Genomic DNA, 18,042 nt, shown 5'->3' with positions numbered 1-18,042 from the left:
AATTCTCGTCTTAGAATTATCAGAAGTGGACTCATGCAGGCCTGGAGCCTGGGAAAGAGAATCTGTGGAACAATGGAAGGCATTACTTCACTCTGGGTTTCACTTCCAGCAACTCTGCTGGGGGACTGCCCTTTTAGAAAAGATGGGCATGAGAAGAGACAGGCATTTCTGGGGAAAATAGATGGACATCTAGAGACAGGAGCAACGGAGAGCAAGTGAGATAGGAGCAATGGAAAGCAAGCAACTGCCTTTGCAAAGAAAGCAGACACCCCACACACCAAGGAGGCATCAAGGTCCAAAGGAACCCAGCACCCAGCACCATGTGGGCCCCGCTGGCACATCAACAGAACTGCAGAAGAAAGTTCGCCCCTGAGGACACAGCAGAGGGCAGAAAACTGGTCATACCACAGCATGTGTCCCAGCAACTGGCCTGGCCCTGCCTGGGGCTCATTCAGGGAGGGAGGAGGAAGGAGCTGATGTCCTGCACTTGGCACACTGAGTGACAGGTAGAATGACTTGAGTAGGAATACATAGGAGGCTATCATGAAACAATCCCCTGTCGTCCAGCCTGGAAAGACTCAGAACCATCAAGATTAAGGAATTATCAGGCTTCCCAAGGGCAGGGACCATGGCCATCTTGTTCACTGTGTCCTCCATTCCTAAAAGTTCTTGGTACCTGGTAACAATAGGCATTTAATACATGTCTGGTGGATGGATGGATCACTGTCTGCCAATGGTACTAGGTTTGTGCTCACCAGCTGCCAAGACCTGGAACATCTGGGTTACACACATGTTATTTCTAATGATTGAATCAATGACTATGCCCTTATTTCACATTTATGTCTCACAATATCAAAATACTGGTATTAAGAATATTTATAACTTTAAGAATTCAAAGGTTAAAATTTAAAATTAGTGACCCTAAATCTTGAGCATATTTTGAGTATAAAACAATATACAAATAAAAGCATCAAGTAAAAATAAAATATGGGCAATATAGATGTTACACCTACATCAGCATTATCATATAAATTTACAGGAGATAGACTGAATTTTAAAGTGTCATTTTAAAATAATTATGTAAAAATAAAATACAAAATGTGATTTTGAGAAGTAAATAACTCATTACTGAGTTATATTCGCATTTCTCTGAAAGAGAAATTTAGAAAATTTAGAATCATAAAGGGATCGTTCTAAGTAAGCTACAGATAGTTCCCTCTGATTCCTTCATCAGCCTGCCCTGACCTAATATTTTATTTGATAATATGAGGGAATCTCTTTGAAAAATGTATGACCACCACACCCCATCCCAGTTCCATCAACCTAGGATGACAATTTTTGTACTGGTCAGACACTGTGGTTTATATTTAAAGAAAGCATTCCCACTCTGTCTTTTTTCATTTAATTATAGATACAGAATCCCATGCAGATTTCTTGTATCAATATTAATACCTTTGGATGTATGTTCTACTTGTTGATAAAGTTTCTGAACTAGAGTAAGAATTATTCATGCAAGAAAAACTGCTTTTAATGATAATCAAGTTTCTCTACTTTAGAGCCATAGAAAGTGGATGAATACTCCGTAAGTGAGCACATCTTTGGTTGATTAAAAATTTGATGCATGATATAAGTGGTTTGTATTTCAGAAATATTATACCAGTCAAAAAGCAATATGTTGGTAAACAGAAGTTTGCTGAGGTTTAAAAATTGCACCGTAAACCAAAAACTGGAACTGTATTTTCTAAACCCTTGAAACCTCCCTTGAGTTAGTCATCATTATGGACATTCCATAAGTAGAGAAATTGAGACCTAACGAATTAGGCTACTCAGTTCCTCACCAATCAGTGGTGGAGCTTGTATTGACACGTGGGCAGGCTGACCCAGAGCCTGTGCATGTTCCCAACCCCATGAATGTTTGCAACCAAGGCACAGCACAGCCACCAGCAAGGCCTGCAGAGTTGCAGAACCAACTTGGTAACATTATCCAGTCAGAACTCAGGCTCAGGGAACTGCTGCTCTTCCTAGTAAGATATCAGTGTCAGGTAGGATTTTCTCATGGGACTTGAAATGCTAATTAGGTCCTTCAGCAAAGTGATTGTTTAAATGGAGTCTGCACTTTTCAAGGCTATAAGTCTGAGTTTGGGTGGCCTCCACATTAACCTGGGTCCTGGCAAAGAAGTGATCAGGCACTTGAGCCATCATGGAATCAGCTGCTTCTATTCTTCTCTATATGTAGAAGACAGAGCCCAGGATGTTATCCTTAACAGGATGAAGTTATCAAGAAAAGGGGCTTCAAGCCCTTCTTGTGTATTTCTGATTTTTATCTCTACAGAGACTTGGCTGATGAATAGGCAGAAGGGCAGAGAGAGATAAGAGTTCTAGCAGCATCTCGAATGTTGAGTCCCCTGGTCTTTGGGGAAATGGAAAAATCACCATAATCCCTTGTGCTTTGGTGTTTCGGTCTGATTTTAAATCTACCTTGAGGAAATATAGGGTAAATATAGTTCAAAATGCTATCTTTGATGTCAAACTGGCCTGGGTTCCAGTCCAGGCCCTGTCGTCATAATCACTTTTGTGACTGATGGTAGACAAGTTACTTAATCTCTCTGTGTCTAATGCCTCCATATTTAAAACAGAGATTTACCAACCCCACCTTAAAGAACTGATGTGAGGGTTAAATAATAAAATGACAGGTAAGCACAGGACCTGACACAGAATAGTGCTCAACAAATATTAGTGATTCCTTATTATTAAATAAATACTTTCTGAATTGATGTCAGTTTACATGGTACATGGCACACATAAAAATTAAATAATCCTCATCTAATCCAAGAGATAATCCTCAAACCTTATTTTGGACTCATATTTCAATATTTTCCTACACAAGAAGATGAGTACCTGGTTTAGCTTTTATCCCCTCTTCCTGTCTGCCTTTTAGTAAAGATGTGAAGACACTTAAGCATTCATCAGGCCCTGAGTAACAGGATTTGTTACATTTAGAAATTATTCTGGGATGATGAGAAAATCATGGAGAAAATCTTAGGGGATTCAAAACCCTCAGTTTATCAATCACTCAACAGAAGTTTATTGAGCACCTATTACATGGAAAACATAAGGCTGCACATTCTTGGAGATACCTAGACAGTTGGTTCCTTCAAGAAGATTAAAAATAACAGAAAAGATCAAATGTGGTCACAAGAGTATGTCTATCCACAACTTGACCTATGACACATGATTGCCAAGTGAGTGGGTTACAGAATAAGACCCATAGGTGTCCAAGATGTCTTTGGGGGCTGAGGAACTTGGTGGGACTTGGAGGTAGACAGGAAGTTGGGTGTTTTTTGTTTGTTTGTTTGTTTGTTTTTGACAGAGTCTTGATCCATCGCCCAGGTTGGAGAGCAGTGGTGCAATCTCGGCTCACTGCAGCCTCTGCTTCCCAGGTTCAAGCAATTCTCCTGCCTCAGCCTTCCAAGTAGCTGGGATTACAGGCACCAGCCACCATGCCCAGCTAATTTTTGTATTTTTTTTTTTCAGTAGAGATGGGGTTTCACCATGTTGGCCAGGCTGGTCTTGAATTCCTGACCTCAAGTGATCCACCCACCTTGGCCTCCCAAAGGGGAAGTTGGGTCTTGAAGGCTGCTGAGGTGTTAAACCAGAGAAGAGCAGGATGGACCTTCTTTGAACATAGACAGGGGGTGGCTACATATGCCAGGTTTGGAAACAGCATGTAGAGCAACGTGGTTAGATGGTAAGGCTCAGGAAGGGGAGGAGTTGAAAATAATCCAAGAAAACTTGCTGGAAATAGCTTCCACTTCTTTGATTTCAGGTTAGGGCATAGCCTCCAGTGGGGTGGAGAGAGTTGCTGCCAGGTATGGAGGGTGGCCTCTTTGTGATACTGTGAAAGGGTAGAGGCAGTCATTTGGAGCGAGCTGGAAGCTGACTCAGCCTTCCATGGGACTCTGGCCATGACAACATAACCAGACTGGAAACCCAGTCACATCAGCACCCTCTGAGCTCTCTGCTCTGAGAGGACTTCTGGTGACTGGGGGAAAATGCTTCCGCCTCCAGAAAGCCCCGCCACAGCTCCTGCCTTCACCCCCGCACTCAGGAAATGGCTTGCCTCCAGCTCTGGAAGAAGTCCAGCACCCTTTGTTTTGGTGCCTGCACCCTGAGACTGAGACATAGGTTGGTTCATTAAGGACTTTCTTCATCAAAAAACCATTCTCTGGTCAGAGAGATGCTGCTGAGTCACAGGCACAGTTCTCAGAGCAACCCAACAATTAAGGTCATTTGTGTAAGTAATCTCTCTTGGTCTAGAAAACTGGAGGTTTGTTTAAAGAGAGGTGGCAGAGAGTATTTTTGTGTCCTGCTGTCCTTGGCATACAGGAACAGAGAGCTCTCTTTGAGAACAATGGCACAAGAGACCTAACGTAAGAGTTGATATTGAATATCCGTGGGAATGAAGAGCCTGCAGAGAGGCCCATCTCCTTTTGCTGCCCGGTAGACTTCCAGGAAGGCTCAGTTCGCAACTGCTTGGCAGAACCCCCAGCTGTAGAAATAACCAAGAAGCATTCCAGAGTTAGCTGGGATCAGGGATGCACAAGTGGAAGACGAGTCAGGGGAGGGTAGAATCGAGTGTCAGACGTCTATAGAGGCATCCAGATAGAATCTCCAAGCAATGAAGGAGCTATGTGACAGATGCTCAGGTGGTCAAAAAATGGGAAATTTTGAAGGCAGTGCTGCAAAAAGGTGAGTGGGGTGGTGTGCCTAGGCAGGGCATATGAAATAACCCCAAGTTGTAGCCCAAAATCCCCTTGAGCTTAGTTCCAATCCCTGCCTCCCTCCTTGGCTCTTTTCTTGGGGCATCCCCTCCAGATGATGGTATGAATTTTTTCCTGGTCCATCTCTTTAAACCCCTAGCTCAACTGCCTTTGGGAATTAAGGAAGTTGTTGTTGTTTCTTAATCTCCTGGCACTTCTACAGTGAAAATAAATTCAGCAGACATGAATTCAATCATTTATCTGTTCATCATGTCTCCTAGCAAACCACTTTCAGCCTTTGGTACCCACAGGCCTCTTCCAGATGTGGTGACATGCAGAAGTGCAGGGAGTCAGCCACCTCACAGGGGCAATGAGGAAGGAAGGCAACTTTGGTCCTGTGGATGGCACCAGATTTGCAATTTGAAAGCAGAGAACTCTGGCCATGCCATTTACTCAAACAGTGCCCATTCGTGAACACCACGCTAAAGACCACAGGAGCCCTCCAGGAGGAGTTTCCTCTCCAGCAGGGGATCATGCAGAACTATAACTACAATTAAAGGGAGTGACTAAGAATTACTTGAGAGAAAAGAAAGAGAGACTGTCACCTGAGTGGGGCAGAGTCAGCCTTTCCATTCCAGAGAATTCTGTCTCAGTGTCCCCTCCTATCTCTCCCTGCAGGCCAACTCCTCTCCAGTCCCTCCCTCACCCAGGTCCTTGGACAGTCCATCTCAGTTACAGATGTAGTTTGATTTATTTTCTCTTAAGAGCCTGCTCAGCCCCATGTAAACTCCTTCACAGATTCTCCGCTCCAGCCATTACAAACTGCCTACTATGATGAATATGAATCATGTCGCTGGGAAAATCTAGGCAGTCACATCAGTTCTTCCCTTCAAGAATTTTCCTAAAAGTGTGCCATGTTCTGGGCAGGAATGGCCTAGGCTTAGCTCTTGGTGACATCCATCCTTTGATCATTCTATCCTTTTGTGAGCAAGATGCCAAAGAAAATAAGCCCAAGACAACACCAATTTTCTGAGTTCCTATTCTATTCTAGCTATAAGCTTTTCTTCCATCAGTTCCTCTCTGACCCCGCTTTTGAAAATCCTGGTCACACCCCGAGTTCTTCCTGCCTTTGTTCCTTAGCTGTGTGCCCTTTTGGGTAGAGTTTTCTTTGTGTCCTGTTGGTGTGCTTCATTTGCTACTCTCATCCTCCTTGGGTCAGGGATGATATTTTTTCATGCTTCAAAATCACATGGGAAAAAAATCTTTTGATACACATTGAACTGTCTTTGAAGGGCTGCCACAAGTGCAGAAAGGTTCCCAGATAGAGGTAAACACCAATTTGGGCTTCAGCTATCCACAGCTGATATCTTATTACATCATAAAGTCTATCTACAAATAAACAGCATGTCTGAAGCTAGGTTGCTTTATTATAGAGATAAATGCAGCTGTGGAGATTAGCAAAGGTCCAATCAGAGGAAGACAGAGCCCCAAGAGACCCCTCTGTTTTAGCTGGGACCACTGTCTTCCTCTGAGGCAAGCAAGGGAGAGTGGGGAATAGTCACCACTGTGTTCTCTCTCAGAGCTTCTGCTCTTCTGGCCTTCTGCCCAATCTGCGGTGCTGACCTGTCTGCCAAGAGGCAGCAGCAGAAGCATGGGAGAGGCTCTCCTAGATACAGACAAGAAGCAAATGATGGGGATTGTGACAGGCATCCTTCCCAGGCAGCAGTAGTGCAGGGAGCCATAGGGTGAGTCAAATACTCGTCTTCTATTTCACAGCATGTGTCGCGTCTTCTAATCAGACTACGAGTTTCTGCAAAGCAGGGCCATTTCAGTATCCACAGAAGGCTGGCAGTTGAAAAACAAAAGTGACTGCACCCCATGCTCACCCACCACTCCCTCTGAGACTGTGCTATGACTAGACCCTGAGAATTACAGAAATGTCTGCATGACTTTCCATTGCTTGCTCCTCTTCATTGTGAGCCAGAAAGGGCCCAGGATGTCTTATGACCTGCAGCCTGGGGGTTCCTCCCTGGGCTGAGGATAATCCATTGCTATTCTTAGAAGAAAGCATAGCAGTAATGCCACAAAGAAAAGCCAGTAATGCTACAAAGAAAAGCCTCATTTGCATCTAATATTTCAAGTAATGGTATTGTCAGGGGCTGTAGGGTCAAAGAAACCTTTGGTAATGTCCTCAAAGATAGTTTGGCTGTTACTGTGAGTTACCGTGAGTTCACAGAAATGGGAAACATGTTGTCACTTACATTGTGAATTTTAAAATAGCTCTATTTATATTGCTTTTGTAATGAAAAGGGAATGTTTCACATTTCCCAGGAATCGTTGTATATGTCCCCTTAATACTCAGTGAGGCAAATGAGATGAAAATCAGCACATGACGTTCCAGGGTACTCAGTTGATAAGTTGTCCCTTTGAAAAATGCCCAGTCTATCTTCTCTAGTCCATAGTGTCCAGCCATGCTCTGGAAGCACATGGGTATCCTGAGTGGGGCCAAAGGGCAGACCTGTCAAAAGCAAACAATGGCTTCCTCCTGTCATGGGGAAAAAAATAAGCTAACGAGTATATTTTTTTTCAAATGTAAACTTTATTCCCATAAATTTTGCTTAAATATTGCCTATTACCAGTTTCCAGTTGACCCTGAGTCAACTAAAAAATGGCCAAGCAGCAACTACTATTTGCAGAAAAGGGATGTTCTGGTAGCAACAACTAAAGCCAATATGCTGGATCAAGCAAAAAACAAAACATTTTGTTTATGAATATAAAAGTGTCTCATGGACCACATGGGTAGAGTGGAGCTGGGCCCTAAAGAGGTCAAACACTAGCTCAGCCTCTTTCTGCACACCATTCTCTTTCTGCTTTCAACAGACTTGTTTTGCTACTTAGTCCATAAAGTGGAAGATAGCTACCCAGATTGTCCAAGGTTACATATTAACTCTCTACTAAATAAATAGACTGCCTCTCTCAACATAGTCCTAAACACGCAGGAAAGAAAATCTGATAGGCCCAGTTTAGGTCAGGGTTCCACTCCTAGTCCAATAAGCTGAATCCAGGGGTGAGGGCAGGACATGGCCACACAATAGAAAATGGCCACAAGAGGTCTGTCTTGTAACCTAAGCATTAGGGCAGAACAGTTCCAAGAGAGAGAAGTAGTGGTAAGAAGGGTGTGTGATGTCCCAGAAGGAAGCTACTCCGTGGAGGATCCAGTGTGGTGGTGCTCCATCACGCCACAAAAAAACTGGATTCAAGCCCAACACCACTGGGATCCAGTGAGAAAATATTGAGGAGTTTTAACACATCCTCTGGAAACACTGTAAGCATTTTTCCTTAGACTACATAGGTAAAGAGAGGGGATTTTTTTTTTTTTTACAATGTCATTTAATCCTCCAAGACAATGTGATAAGCTCTGTTTTGCAGATAAGAATATTAAAGCTCAGAGAGGTTAAGTAACTGTCCCAAGGTCACCCAACTAGTAGGGGGTAGAACAAAATTCACACCCATGTCTGACTCCAAAACCCCATTCATGCTCCATCCATTCCTCTGTGTTCCTTCCCAAGTGAACTCTGCCCAGAGATAAGTCTCCCTTGATCAGCTGAACAGCCTGAATTGAAGACAAGCATGTACCGAAAAGCTGACTTCCATTTTCTGTGCCTTAGACTTTTCTAGGCCCAGTTTGCAAAGTGTGAATTCAGCCAGTCTTGCAAGGACTCTGGCCACAGCACAAAGTTCCTTAGCATCCCCAAGTCAGAAGGCCCCCTTCCTACGCCTCATCCCCACCCACTGCAGGTTCCTCAACCACCCCCCAGGTGGAGCATTTCAGCCCCCAGCTACTCCTAGGTTGTATACTGTTCAAGTGCTATCAATGCCATTTTCCTGTTTGCGTTTTGTTTTTGTTTTTGTTTTGTTTTTACAGTTCGTTGCTCATCCTAACTGTCAGCAGCAATTGCTTACCATGTGGTATGAAAATCTCTCAGGCTTACGTCAACAGTCTATCGCTGTGAAATTCCTGGCTGTCTTTGGAGTCTCCATAGGCCTCCCTTTTCTCGCCATAGCCTATTGGATTGCTCCGTGCAGCAAGGTACAGACTGCTTAAGGTGCATGTCGTTTGCGGTTATTTCTTCTCTCTTCTTAGCATGATCTGAAATCCATTTTGTTCAAATTAGCAGCTGATTTTTTCCCATATTTAAAGAAAATATTCCTGAGATACCCGGTGAAAGTAGGAAACCACATAAAAGGAAAAATGTTAAGACGTGCTTTTTTAAATCTTTTTTTTTTCAAAGAGAGAGAGGAGCAATAAAATTTTAAACACGAGAGGCATAATTTGAAAAGATCAGTAACAGAATTGAGAATAAAGACACTTTTCTTCTTCTAATTATGCAATGTCCTAAGCATGTCCTCCAAACCCACAGTATAATAATTAGAATCATGGTAATAGTAATAGCTAACATTTGAGTAGTTTCTCTTCTCTAAGCCCTTTTCATGGAATATCTCATTTCACAGCCTCAATTACATTATGACATGTATGCTTTATGAAGTAGGTCCAGAAAAGAGAAATAACTAGTAGGCTGGGAGTCAAACACAGCTCATGCTGGGGCACTGCAGACACATTGCAACATCTTCCTAGTTTTCCTGGCCCCTTCGATGAGGTTCTGGCTCACATGGGCAGCTAATTAGGTTGCAGGAAGGAAAAAGGCAAAGGAAAGAGAAGAAGAGCTCAAAAGGAGTGTTATTTCCCTGAGGGGGAGTGTCCAGTGCCCACCAGTGATGGAAGGAGTGGAAACTGCAGGTGCCAAGCTGCCCTACTAGCGGCTCCACCATCCCCACATCCCAGTCACATGAGTCAAAGCCGTAGAAAGTAACAGCACTCCAGCTTCGGGGAAGAGTCAGTGCTTTTAAGACCAAACCATGCAGAAATTTTGAAGTATGTTTCATGGGTTTAAGATTGTCACTAAAGGTTCCAAAGCTGCATTTACCTAGTGATACATTTAAAAAGGAATTAAGCTTAGGTAATCAACATTCAGTAGGAGAAATATGACTACAGGGAGATTAGTTCCATAGGCAATTTGATCAGGTAATGTGGTTAATAAAAGTGTCACCAGTGAACCAACCCTCTTGTCAACTCCACTTAGGAGTAACTCATACCAGAATGACAGCTGCGAGACTTCGGGGCTGCTGGTGAGGCCACCTAACCAGACAGTCAATGAACTGACTGCCTCACAGTAGGTACAGGGTCACAGAGAGAGGTCAAGTCCCCAAATCCTTCTTCCGGAGAGTAGTATTAAGAATGGAAGCCCTCTTACTGAACTTTTACAGTATTCAACCTTACATCTATTGAGGATTTTGCTTCTATGGCAGTTTATCATGCCAGGCACTTTCAGATCAGAATTTCCCAAGTAATATATATGTAGGTAAAGGCAATTTTTTTCTGTCCTTCATTATGAGCTGAAAAAACACAGTGGGTGAAAAAACTAACCAGATTTAAAGCTGGCTTGAAGCTGGTCATGGGTTTTAGGCACAGTCTGTACTGTAAGTTGCCTTCACCCAGAGCCCCAGTGAGTAGGGACACTTAACTTCACTTTCTCTGAGCCCCAGAACAAATTCTAGGCTGTTCGATCATTAAAATAACAGCAACTTTGTGGAGAAAGCGCTGCCAATCCTCACTTTTGCTGCAAAGCTAAATGTGACAGCTTCCAGGAACCTGGGACTTGCCAACAGGAGCAAACTGGCTTGCCTCTGAGTGCCTAGTGGCCTGGGAAAAGACTCAGAAAGAGTAGTTGCTGACTAAATTGTTTAGATTTCTGGTAGCTCTGAGAGGAATCTTGGTACATATGCAGATGTGATCCCATTAAAAAGTGTGTGGTTGCAGAGAGGGATTTCTAGAATTTCTTGGGCCTAGTAAATCCAGGAAGGTAATAGCACCTGGGATGTAGGGGTCAGACCTATGGCAGTTTTCTGGAACACTCTGGAGGAAACAGTTGCAGGGAAGTTTGGTCCATAACAGGGGTTTCCTCACCTCTGTTTAGATACTCATGTGATTGACATTTGGTGCCCCCAGAAGTTCCATTAAGACTAAAAAAAGAAAAAAGAAACTCAAGATAGACATGAACTGATCATTAAGCCACTTGTCACTTCTGTGACTTTCTAGATTCCAAGTCTGAGCTCAGTGCAGTAGAGGGCATGTCGATAACTCAGTCTGTGGCATGAGATGACTCTTGGTGGCACTGCTCATTACAAGCAAAGATTCCCTCATTAAAGAGCTGTTGAACTTGCTCTGAGGCAGCCAAAGGACAGATAAAACAGTCAAGATATTTTTAGTCTTTCCTTTCACCATTTAGAAAGAAATCTTTTCAACTTTGGCAGAGATATTACTGGGAATTACAGAGAGGTCACATCTGCCATGTGACAAAACCAGCCCCTCTAAGGGTTCCTGATGCCCAGAAAAACCATGTCTTCCCAAAAGGAGGGCAATGGCGAAGTCTGTTAATGGGCTGGCAGCCCTCCTCCTGAGGGGTCACTGACTTTACATCTGTCTATATCTGTAATTCTAGGAAAAGGACAATGTCATTTCAGAGATCTCATTCTAATGACATTATTACACCTCTTTCTGAAAACTTAGACCTTGATATTATTTTATAAATGTATTCATAAAATGTCACTTGCAAACTTCGTCAACTAACTAATGCCCATCAATGTCTAGTAAATGTTGAGATTTCTGTTTCCAACCCAATGGTGCATTTACTTCCTAATAGTTGTTGCCCTAATTTAGAGACTATTAGGAGCATCAAAATTACTTGATTAGCCAGCCATAATGACTGCATCATTTCTTTCCTATTGAATTATCAAGGCTGTCAATTCTATTTTTATATTGTTTCTGAGGGTCCCTAAGAAAGACAGTTAAATAAGGAAATTACAAGGTGAAAGGTGTCAACAGAAGTTCAGCTTACTAATATGTTGGTTGAAGAGGATAACCAAGTCACAGATGGCTACGTATAATGATAAATGCAGGCCTGGAGCATGGGACAGGTTCATCTGGGTCAAGAGAAAGAACAGTGATTCTGTTTATCATTTCTCATTGTCATCACCAACTTAGTTGAGCTCAGGCAGCCCACTGGGAGACCAGTGAATTCTAATCCCTATGGATGCACAGCAGTTAGGTCTCTGTTTGCCTAAAGAGTTCTTTATTCTCTCAACAAGGACTCCAATGTCAAAGGGTCTTTATAGCTGCCTAAGCTGTTTCCATCCTTTGCTATCCTATTCTGATGTGTAAGTTAGATTGTTTGCCTGTTAAGATCTCAGAGCCAAAAGAATAAATAACAGTCATCTTCAAAGGTTCAAACAGTGTCTCTATATGATGTGGCAGAAGCCAGCATCATGAAAATGCTGAGGAACTGCACCAGTTTTAATTATAACAGGGAAGGAGAAGCTGACCTTGTCTATTACCTGTTAACTATAACTGTTCCAATTATCTTCAAAATTTACCCCAGGACTCAGGCAGGAGGAACTGTAAACAACTTTAGAATCCAACCTTATATCTTTGTAGTGTGCAATCTATCAGTCCTTACTGCCATAACCCTTGCTCGGAGAAATATAAAGTTGGTACCCCCTCTTCACCATCCCAAACATGAATATCTAGTAAGGAAGGCGTGAGTGAGTGGGCAGCTTTGAAAGATCTCTGCTTTGCCTTACCAAAGCTGAAATGGCTTGAAAGGGGTCCTCAAACCATGTGGTTCAGGGGCCAACCAGGAGAGGAGAGCACCTCCAGAGACCTCTTTTTCTCCACATTTATCTCTACCAGAGAGCTACACTCGATTAAAGAAAATCACAACACAATTTTTGAAGCATAGCCATGGAGAGGAAATTTGTGTCAGGAAATACAGCATCGGTGCTCTTATGTCACCAATGCTTCTGTTCCCAAGTCCAAAAGGCTAGTCCAGCACCTGTCACCCTGCTGAGATAGGATTAAAGAGTGCCGGAAGCTGATCACTTTCAGACTTAGCCCAGACTTAGCCCAGGCTGAGCCCTGCAACATTTCTCCCCATCTCTCCATCTATTTCCTATCACACTTTTTAGCCTGTGTCTCTCCACACTAGAAAATCAGCAACTTTGAAGGGAAGATCCAACTCTTACAGCTTGTTTTATCTCTTTCACCTCCAGTGCCCAGCATCGTGTTGCATATAGATAGCACAACAGGCTGTCTATAAGAGATATCCCGAACAGGCTCGTGGCATAAAGACATAAGGACTCTGTTTGGGTCCACCTTTGTGTGAAGTTTATTTTAAGATTCCACTTAGGAGAATGCCCTGAGACCCTCCAGTGCCATATATTGAGTACTTCCCATACACCAGGCACTGTTCTAACTGCGTTGTGTGTATTAAATAATGCATTGCTTACATTGACCCTATGCAGTTGGCACTATTTTTATCCCCATTTTATAAAAGAAGAAACTGAAACACTAAGGGATTAAATAACTTGTTTTTAAAAAAATATAGGAAGCTGTGGTTTAAACCTAGAGTCTCTGGCTCCAGAGATCTGCACTTAATGGCTGCATGCAAATGCACCGCCCACGTGTGCGCGCACACACACATCCCTCTAGTTACACGAGCACCATTACAACCTTCAACGCCTAACATAAACATCTTAGCTGCTGACTAACCGACCTTGAAATGGACTTGATTTAGATCTTAAAAGTTGGTAGGACTTTTTTAGAAAGAAGTCAAAACAACCAGATGACAAACTCTGTCCCTTCCTTTTCTTTCATCGGAGTCCTGCTTTGTAAATCCCTCTTCAGCCCCCAGGACAAAGTGTGGATTCACATTGAAATGTGTGGAGAAATATCAAGTCGTTACAATGTGTAGATTGACATTGTAATGTAAGAACACTGATTACAGGCACCCAGTAACACCACCACTATCCCACCCCATCATAAAAGGGAAAAATCCTGAGCCCTATGTTAGACATTTTGAATAAGAGTTTCAGGGGGAGCATCTTGAGGATCTGCCTCTAATTTAACCAGGATCTCGCTAACATTTGAGAATCACCCAACCCCGAAGCTGTGCATGATTCTTTTGGGAATGATTAATCCAAGTTTACTTTCACTCAGTTTCTAACTTGTAAACCAGGCCCTTGCTTAAGACCATGGCACCCAGTGGAAAGCGAGAGTGGCATTTGGCGAAGGAGACTCTGTCATAAAAGATTAGGAAGATGCTGGAAACCTTTTCTGAGTGATCTACCACAATCACAGCCACAGGGCTATATTTCTGGGATGTGGGGACTCACACATCCAGGTACCGCTTAGGTGCTTACACTTGTGGGGGCTAAGAGCCCAGTGGCATGGAACACAGAGTTGGTGCTGACCAGTAAACGCAGGTGCCCACCCCAAAGGTCCATGAAGGCAATTTTCTTGGAGCCAATTCAGGGGCACTCTTCAGTTGCTTTGACATTCATATATTTCTCAGAGCCAAAGAATAGTGGCCAGGAAGCTTCGGGTGAGCCAGAGACTTCAGTTCTACAAGCTTTAATTTCCTGATGTGTTCTCAGCTCATAAGGTCCTAGTAATGACTGAACTGCTTTAGCCCACATTTTTTGGGCTTCTCAGTTCTGCACTCCAGGCACAGCAGGCTAAGGCCCACATCTTCATCTCTTTTTACACCTAACGCTGATACCTGACCCAGCTTTAACGATTCTGCAGCTAAGAGCTGCTAGCATATATTGGTTGACTTTTCTCCTTTCTTTTGGCTCATCTGATGGCCTTGCAAATGGAGGAAATTTTCCCCAAAGGTAATTTACTTCAAAAATTATCTGTGTGAGTCAAATAGGGAATTTTACAAATAAAGAAAAAGGAAACCATTGAAATGACTGGATCTCATTTGACCTTTATCAAAGTTTTACCAGATAAAAAGATGCATTCAAACCCAGAAGTATAGGAAAAGAATATCAATTCCCAACCTCACTTTTCCTCCCTGTGACCTAGATCAAGTGGGAACTGAGCCCAGGGTAACTTTCCATCAAATCACCAAAAGGCATTAACAGGACTTTTTATTATGGTTTATAGTAAATATAATAAGTTTTGCAGATTCATCTTCTTCTAGAAGATAACAGCTTGAAGGAGGTAACAAAACGAATATTAAATTCCTTAAACCAGGTCTTCTGGGGAAACTCAAAGCCAGCTTGGGTGCAGCTACATACAAATTCCAGGAATCAGGTGCCTCACCTGGGTGAGAAGTTGGAGAGGTATACCCCATATCCTCATCCAGATTATCACTGAAGATATTAGGTAGAGACCACAGATAAAGGATGGGGAAAATGGACCCCTTAAGAGCTGTGTCTATCTCAGAGTTCCCCAGCTTTTTCTAACATTCTTGAAACCTTGCTGGGATACACAAGACCTGGTATCCCTTGCCCTCTCTTCAGTCTCCCCTCTCCTCATCTATTCTCCTCCCTGCAGTCATTCTCCATCTCCCATCACCTCTCATCACCAGCTCAGTCAGGACACAGTGACAAGAAACAATGTGATGACTACCTAAGGCTGTCTCCTGGATATGCCAAAATATCCCAAGGTCCTGGTTGGGAAATGGGGCTCCAAGATGCTAACACCATTTGCTAAAATGTCAAAAACTTCAAACTAGCTATTTAATATCATATAAATAAAAAAGAGACATGGTTTAATTCAGTTTTTTACTGAATTTATATAAAAATGTTTTATTTGTCCTTACATTTTATCTCTATCTCTATCACCTTCAGTGCCCTATAGAATGCCACTGCATTCTATAACTAGCACATCTGTCTATTGCCAAAAATAATCTACAGTCCCTATTTTTGTAAGTAATAAACATTATACAGAAATGTTATTGTAAAATATTTGTGGGCCTATTGTCAGATAAACATCTCTTTATATTTCTGAAGTTATTCCTAGTGTCATATGACAATATGCAGATGAATTCTAACACAAGCAGGGACTCCTAATGCTTGGATATTTTTTAAAACCTAGATTTTTAAAAAAGATAAAAACTAATACTTTATTTTAATAAATGGGTTCTATAGCATCAGAATCATAATAATGTTATGCTAATAACTACAGTAATTAAAGTGGATGATTAACATACTGAAGCACATTAAAAGAACATTATCAAACCATCTGATTTATAAATGTTGTGCTGAACATATGTGACTAGGAAAATTCTACTTAGAGAAGGCCCTGTAATTGATCTTCTGTTGAACCAACAGTCTATCTCCTGGGTAACATTTCACTCTAGGACTCCTGAATGAGGCAGAATGTGAATGTCAAGTAATCAGTCACTGGTTATAATTGAATATCTACCTTGGAAAAGGAACTGAGCTTCAGAAAAGATGTTCCTCTTTGTTCTTGCCTTATTATTGTACCTGGATGAGGGGTAGGGCTTGGTGCTTAGATGAGGGCAATGAGCTGGAAGAGTCCCAACTGAGTTCATTAACAGGAGGTTGGCAAGTACTCAACGTGCAGCCCTCAATTCGATCCCAAAGATCCAAGTGGCCTTTGGATGGGGTGCCATGAGATAAAGAAGATGTGACTAGTATTTGCTCCTAATAGGGCATCTTTTGGACCATTTCCAGCTTGTGACATTTCAGGCACTAGGCCAAAAGGAAAACCTCAATGAATTTTAGAATACCATCATAGAGGCTATGTTCTATAAAGATGCTGCAATAAAATTCAAATTTTTTAAAGCAGGGAGAAAAAAAGTCCTCTATGTCTGGAAATGAAATAATCCTTGAGTTAAAAATGAAATCACAATATAATTTATAAAATATTTATAACAGAATGTCAATGAAAATGCTACAAGTGAAAATTTAGGAGAATACAGCTAAAGCAGTACCTAGTGAGAAATGTATAGCTTTAAATAAATGTATCAACATACAAGAAAGGTTGAGAACAAATACCCTTAGAATGAAGCCCAAGTGAGTAGATTAAACAAAAACCGAGCACTCAAAGTGCATTTTTTAAAATTGTGAACTTTATGCAGACATTATTTTTTCATATCCATGCAGTTGGAGGTATCAGTGCAATCAGATGTAGCATGATGATTATGTCAGGTGTGTTCTATCAATTTCTCTTAGCCCTCCCACTAAGTCTTCTAAATAGGAAAATATTGACCAAATAAGTTTGGTCAAGCAGCATCTCACATAATAGTTCAAGAAAAAATGTTGTATGGGTTCAGTTAGCAGTTTCTGTCCAAGATGAAGGATTCTCTGGTTAAACTTTGGTGAAAGCGATGTTATAAAGAAAGACCTACATCCACCTAGAGACAGTTTAACATGTCTTGAACACATTTTCTTTCCAGCTAGGACGAACCCTGAGGAGCCCTTTCATGAAGTTTGTAGCTCATGCAGTTTCTTTTACAATCTTCTTGGGATTATTAGTTGTGAATGCATCTGACCGATTTGAAGGTGTTAAAACCCTGCCAAACGAAACCTTCACAGACTACCCAAAACAAATCTTCAGAGTGAAAACCACACAGTTCTCCTGGACAGAAATGCTCATTATGAAGTGGGTCTTAGGTAAGCAAGTCACTCTATTTTTATTCTCTCCTTGCTAATTATAGTAGGACATTATTAAACTCTGATTTCTGAATTTCTCCCTCTCCTCTTCAGTGTACTCCTGATAGACAAAATGGTGAGTGGATGACCAACAAGAAAGTCAGAGTCAACTTCTGTCTTTAAGATACACAGACCTGTATACAAATTCCAATTTTGAAAGGAAATGTTTGGGGCGGCGGGGGACAGAAATTTTTTAAGTACATATATTGAACATTCATTATACATGTATTGAAAGTAGTTTCATGGGGAAACATATTATTTTGATCATTTAAATATAGTCTACTGGAAGCCTTAAGAAAACAAGTTCAGATTCTAAAAAAGGGCACAAAATTTCATAGCTTGAAAGATATTTCTGTTATCACTAAATATTCATATTCATAGTAGAATTGTGATAATAAATATACATCTAAAAATTCACGGGAGTAACATTTTCTTGTTATTTGTGTAAGTGGGTGTACTAAAAGGCTATGAAATTCCTCTTGTAGTGGTATTTCATGCTGCCACAGTCTGCCACTGGAGCTGCCAAGGAAATTGTTCCCAATTTCCTCATTGATTAACTAAGAAAGGCTGTCTTTTACCCAATTTATGAGAACCATTACTAGAAGGAATAATCAGAACAAAATAAAACTGGCAGTGACTAAAATTGAACGTGGCAAAATGTGTTATAGATTTTTCCGACACTGAAAACTACAAAACTGGT

At 41.7% G+C, this 18,042-nt stretch overlaps 1 protein-coding gene and 1 long non-coding RNA gene across 5 annotated transcripts in view; one reads left to right on the top strand and one right to left on the bottom strand.

The window, feature by feature from the left end:
* The window catches only part of TRPC7 (transient receptor potential cation channel subfamily C member 7), a 152,801-nt gene that overhangs the window by 82,023 nt on the left and 52,736 nt on the right, over nt 1-18,042 (top strand). For 2 of the 4 annotated variants that reach the window (NM_001167577.2, NM_020389.3), the window contains 2 exons: nt 8,686-8,850; nt 17,087-17,303. In NM_001167577.2, coding sequence (NP_001161049.1) covers nt 8,686-8,850; nt 17,087-17,303 — 382 coding nt within the window. The remainder of the gene's footprint in view (nt 1-8,685; nt 8,851-17,086; nt 17,304-18,042) is intronic. The other 2 variants (NM_001167576.2, NM_001376901.1) reach the window with 1 other exon arrangement.
* The window catches only part of TRPC7-AS2 (TRPC7 antisense RNA 2), an 89,446-nt gene that overhangs the window by 32,578 nt on the left and 38,826 nt on the right, over nt 1-18,042 (bottom strand). The window lies entirely within an intron of this gene.

This window comes from Homo sapiens, chromosome 5, assembly GCF_000001405.40.
Source record: "Homo sapiens chromosome 5, GRCh38.p14 Primary Assembly".
NCBI classification, from domain to species: Eukaryota; Metazoa; Chordata; class Mammalia; order Primates; family Hominidae; genus Homo; species Homo sapiens.
The sequence above is the reverse complement of the archived record's forward strand: the minus strand, read 5'-3'. Positions and strand labels throughout refer to the sequence as shown.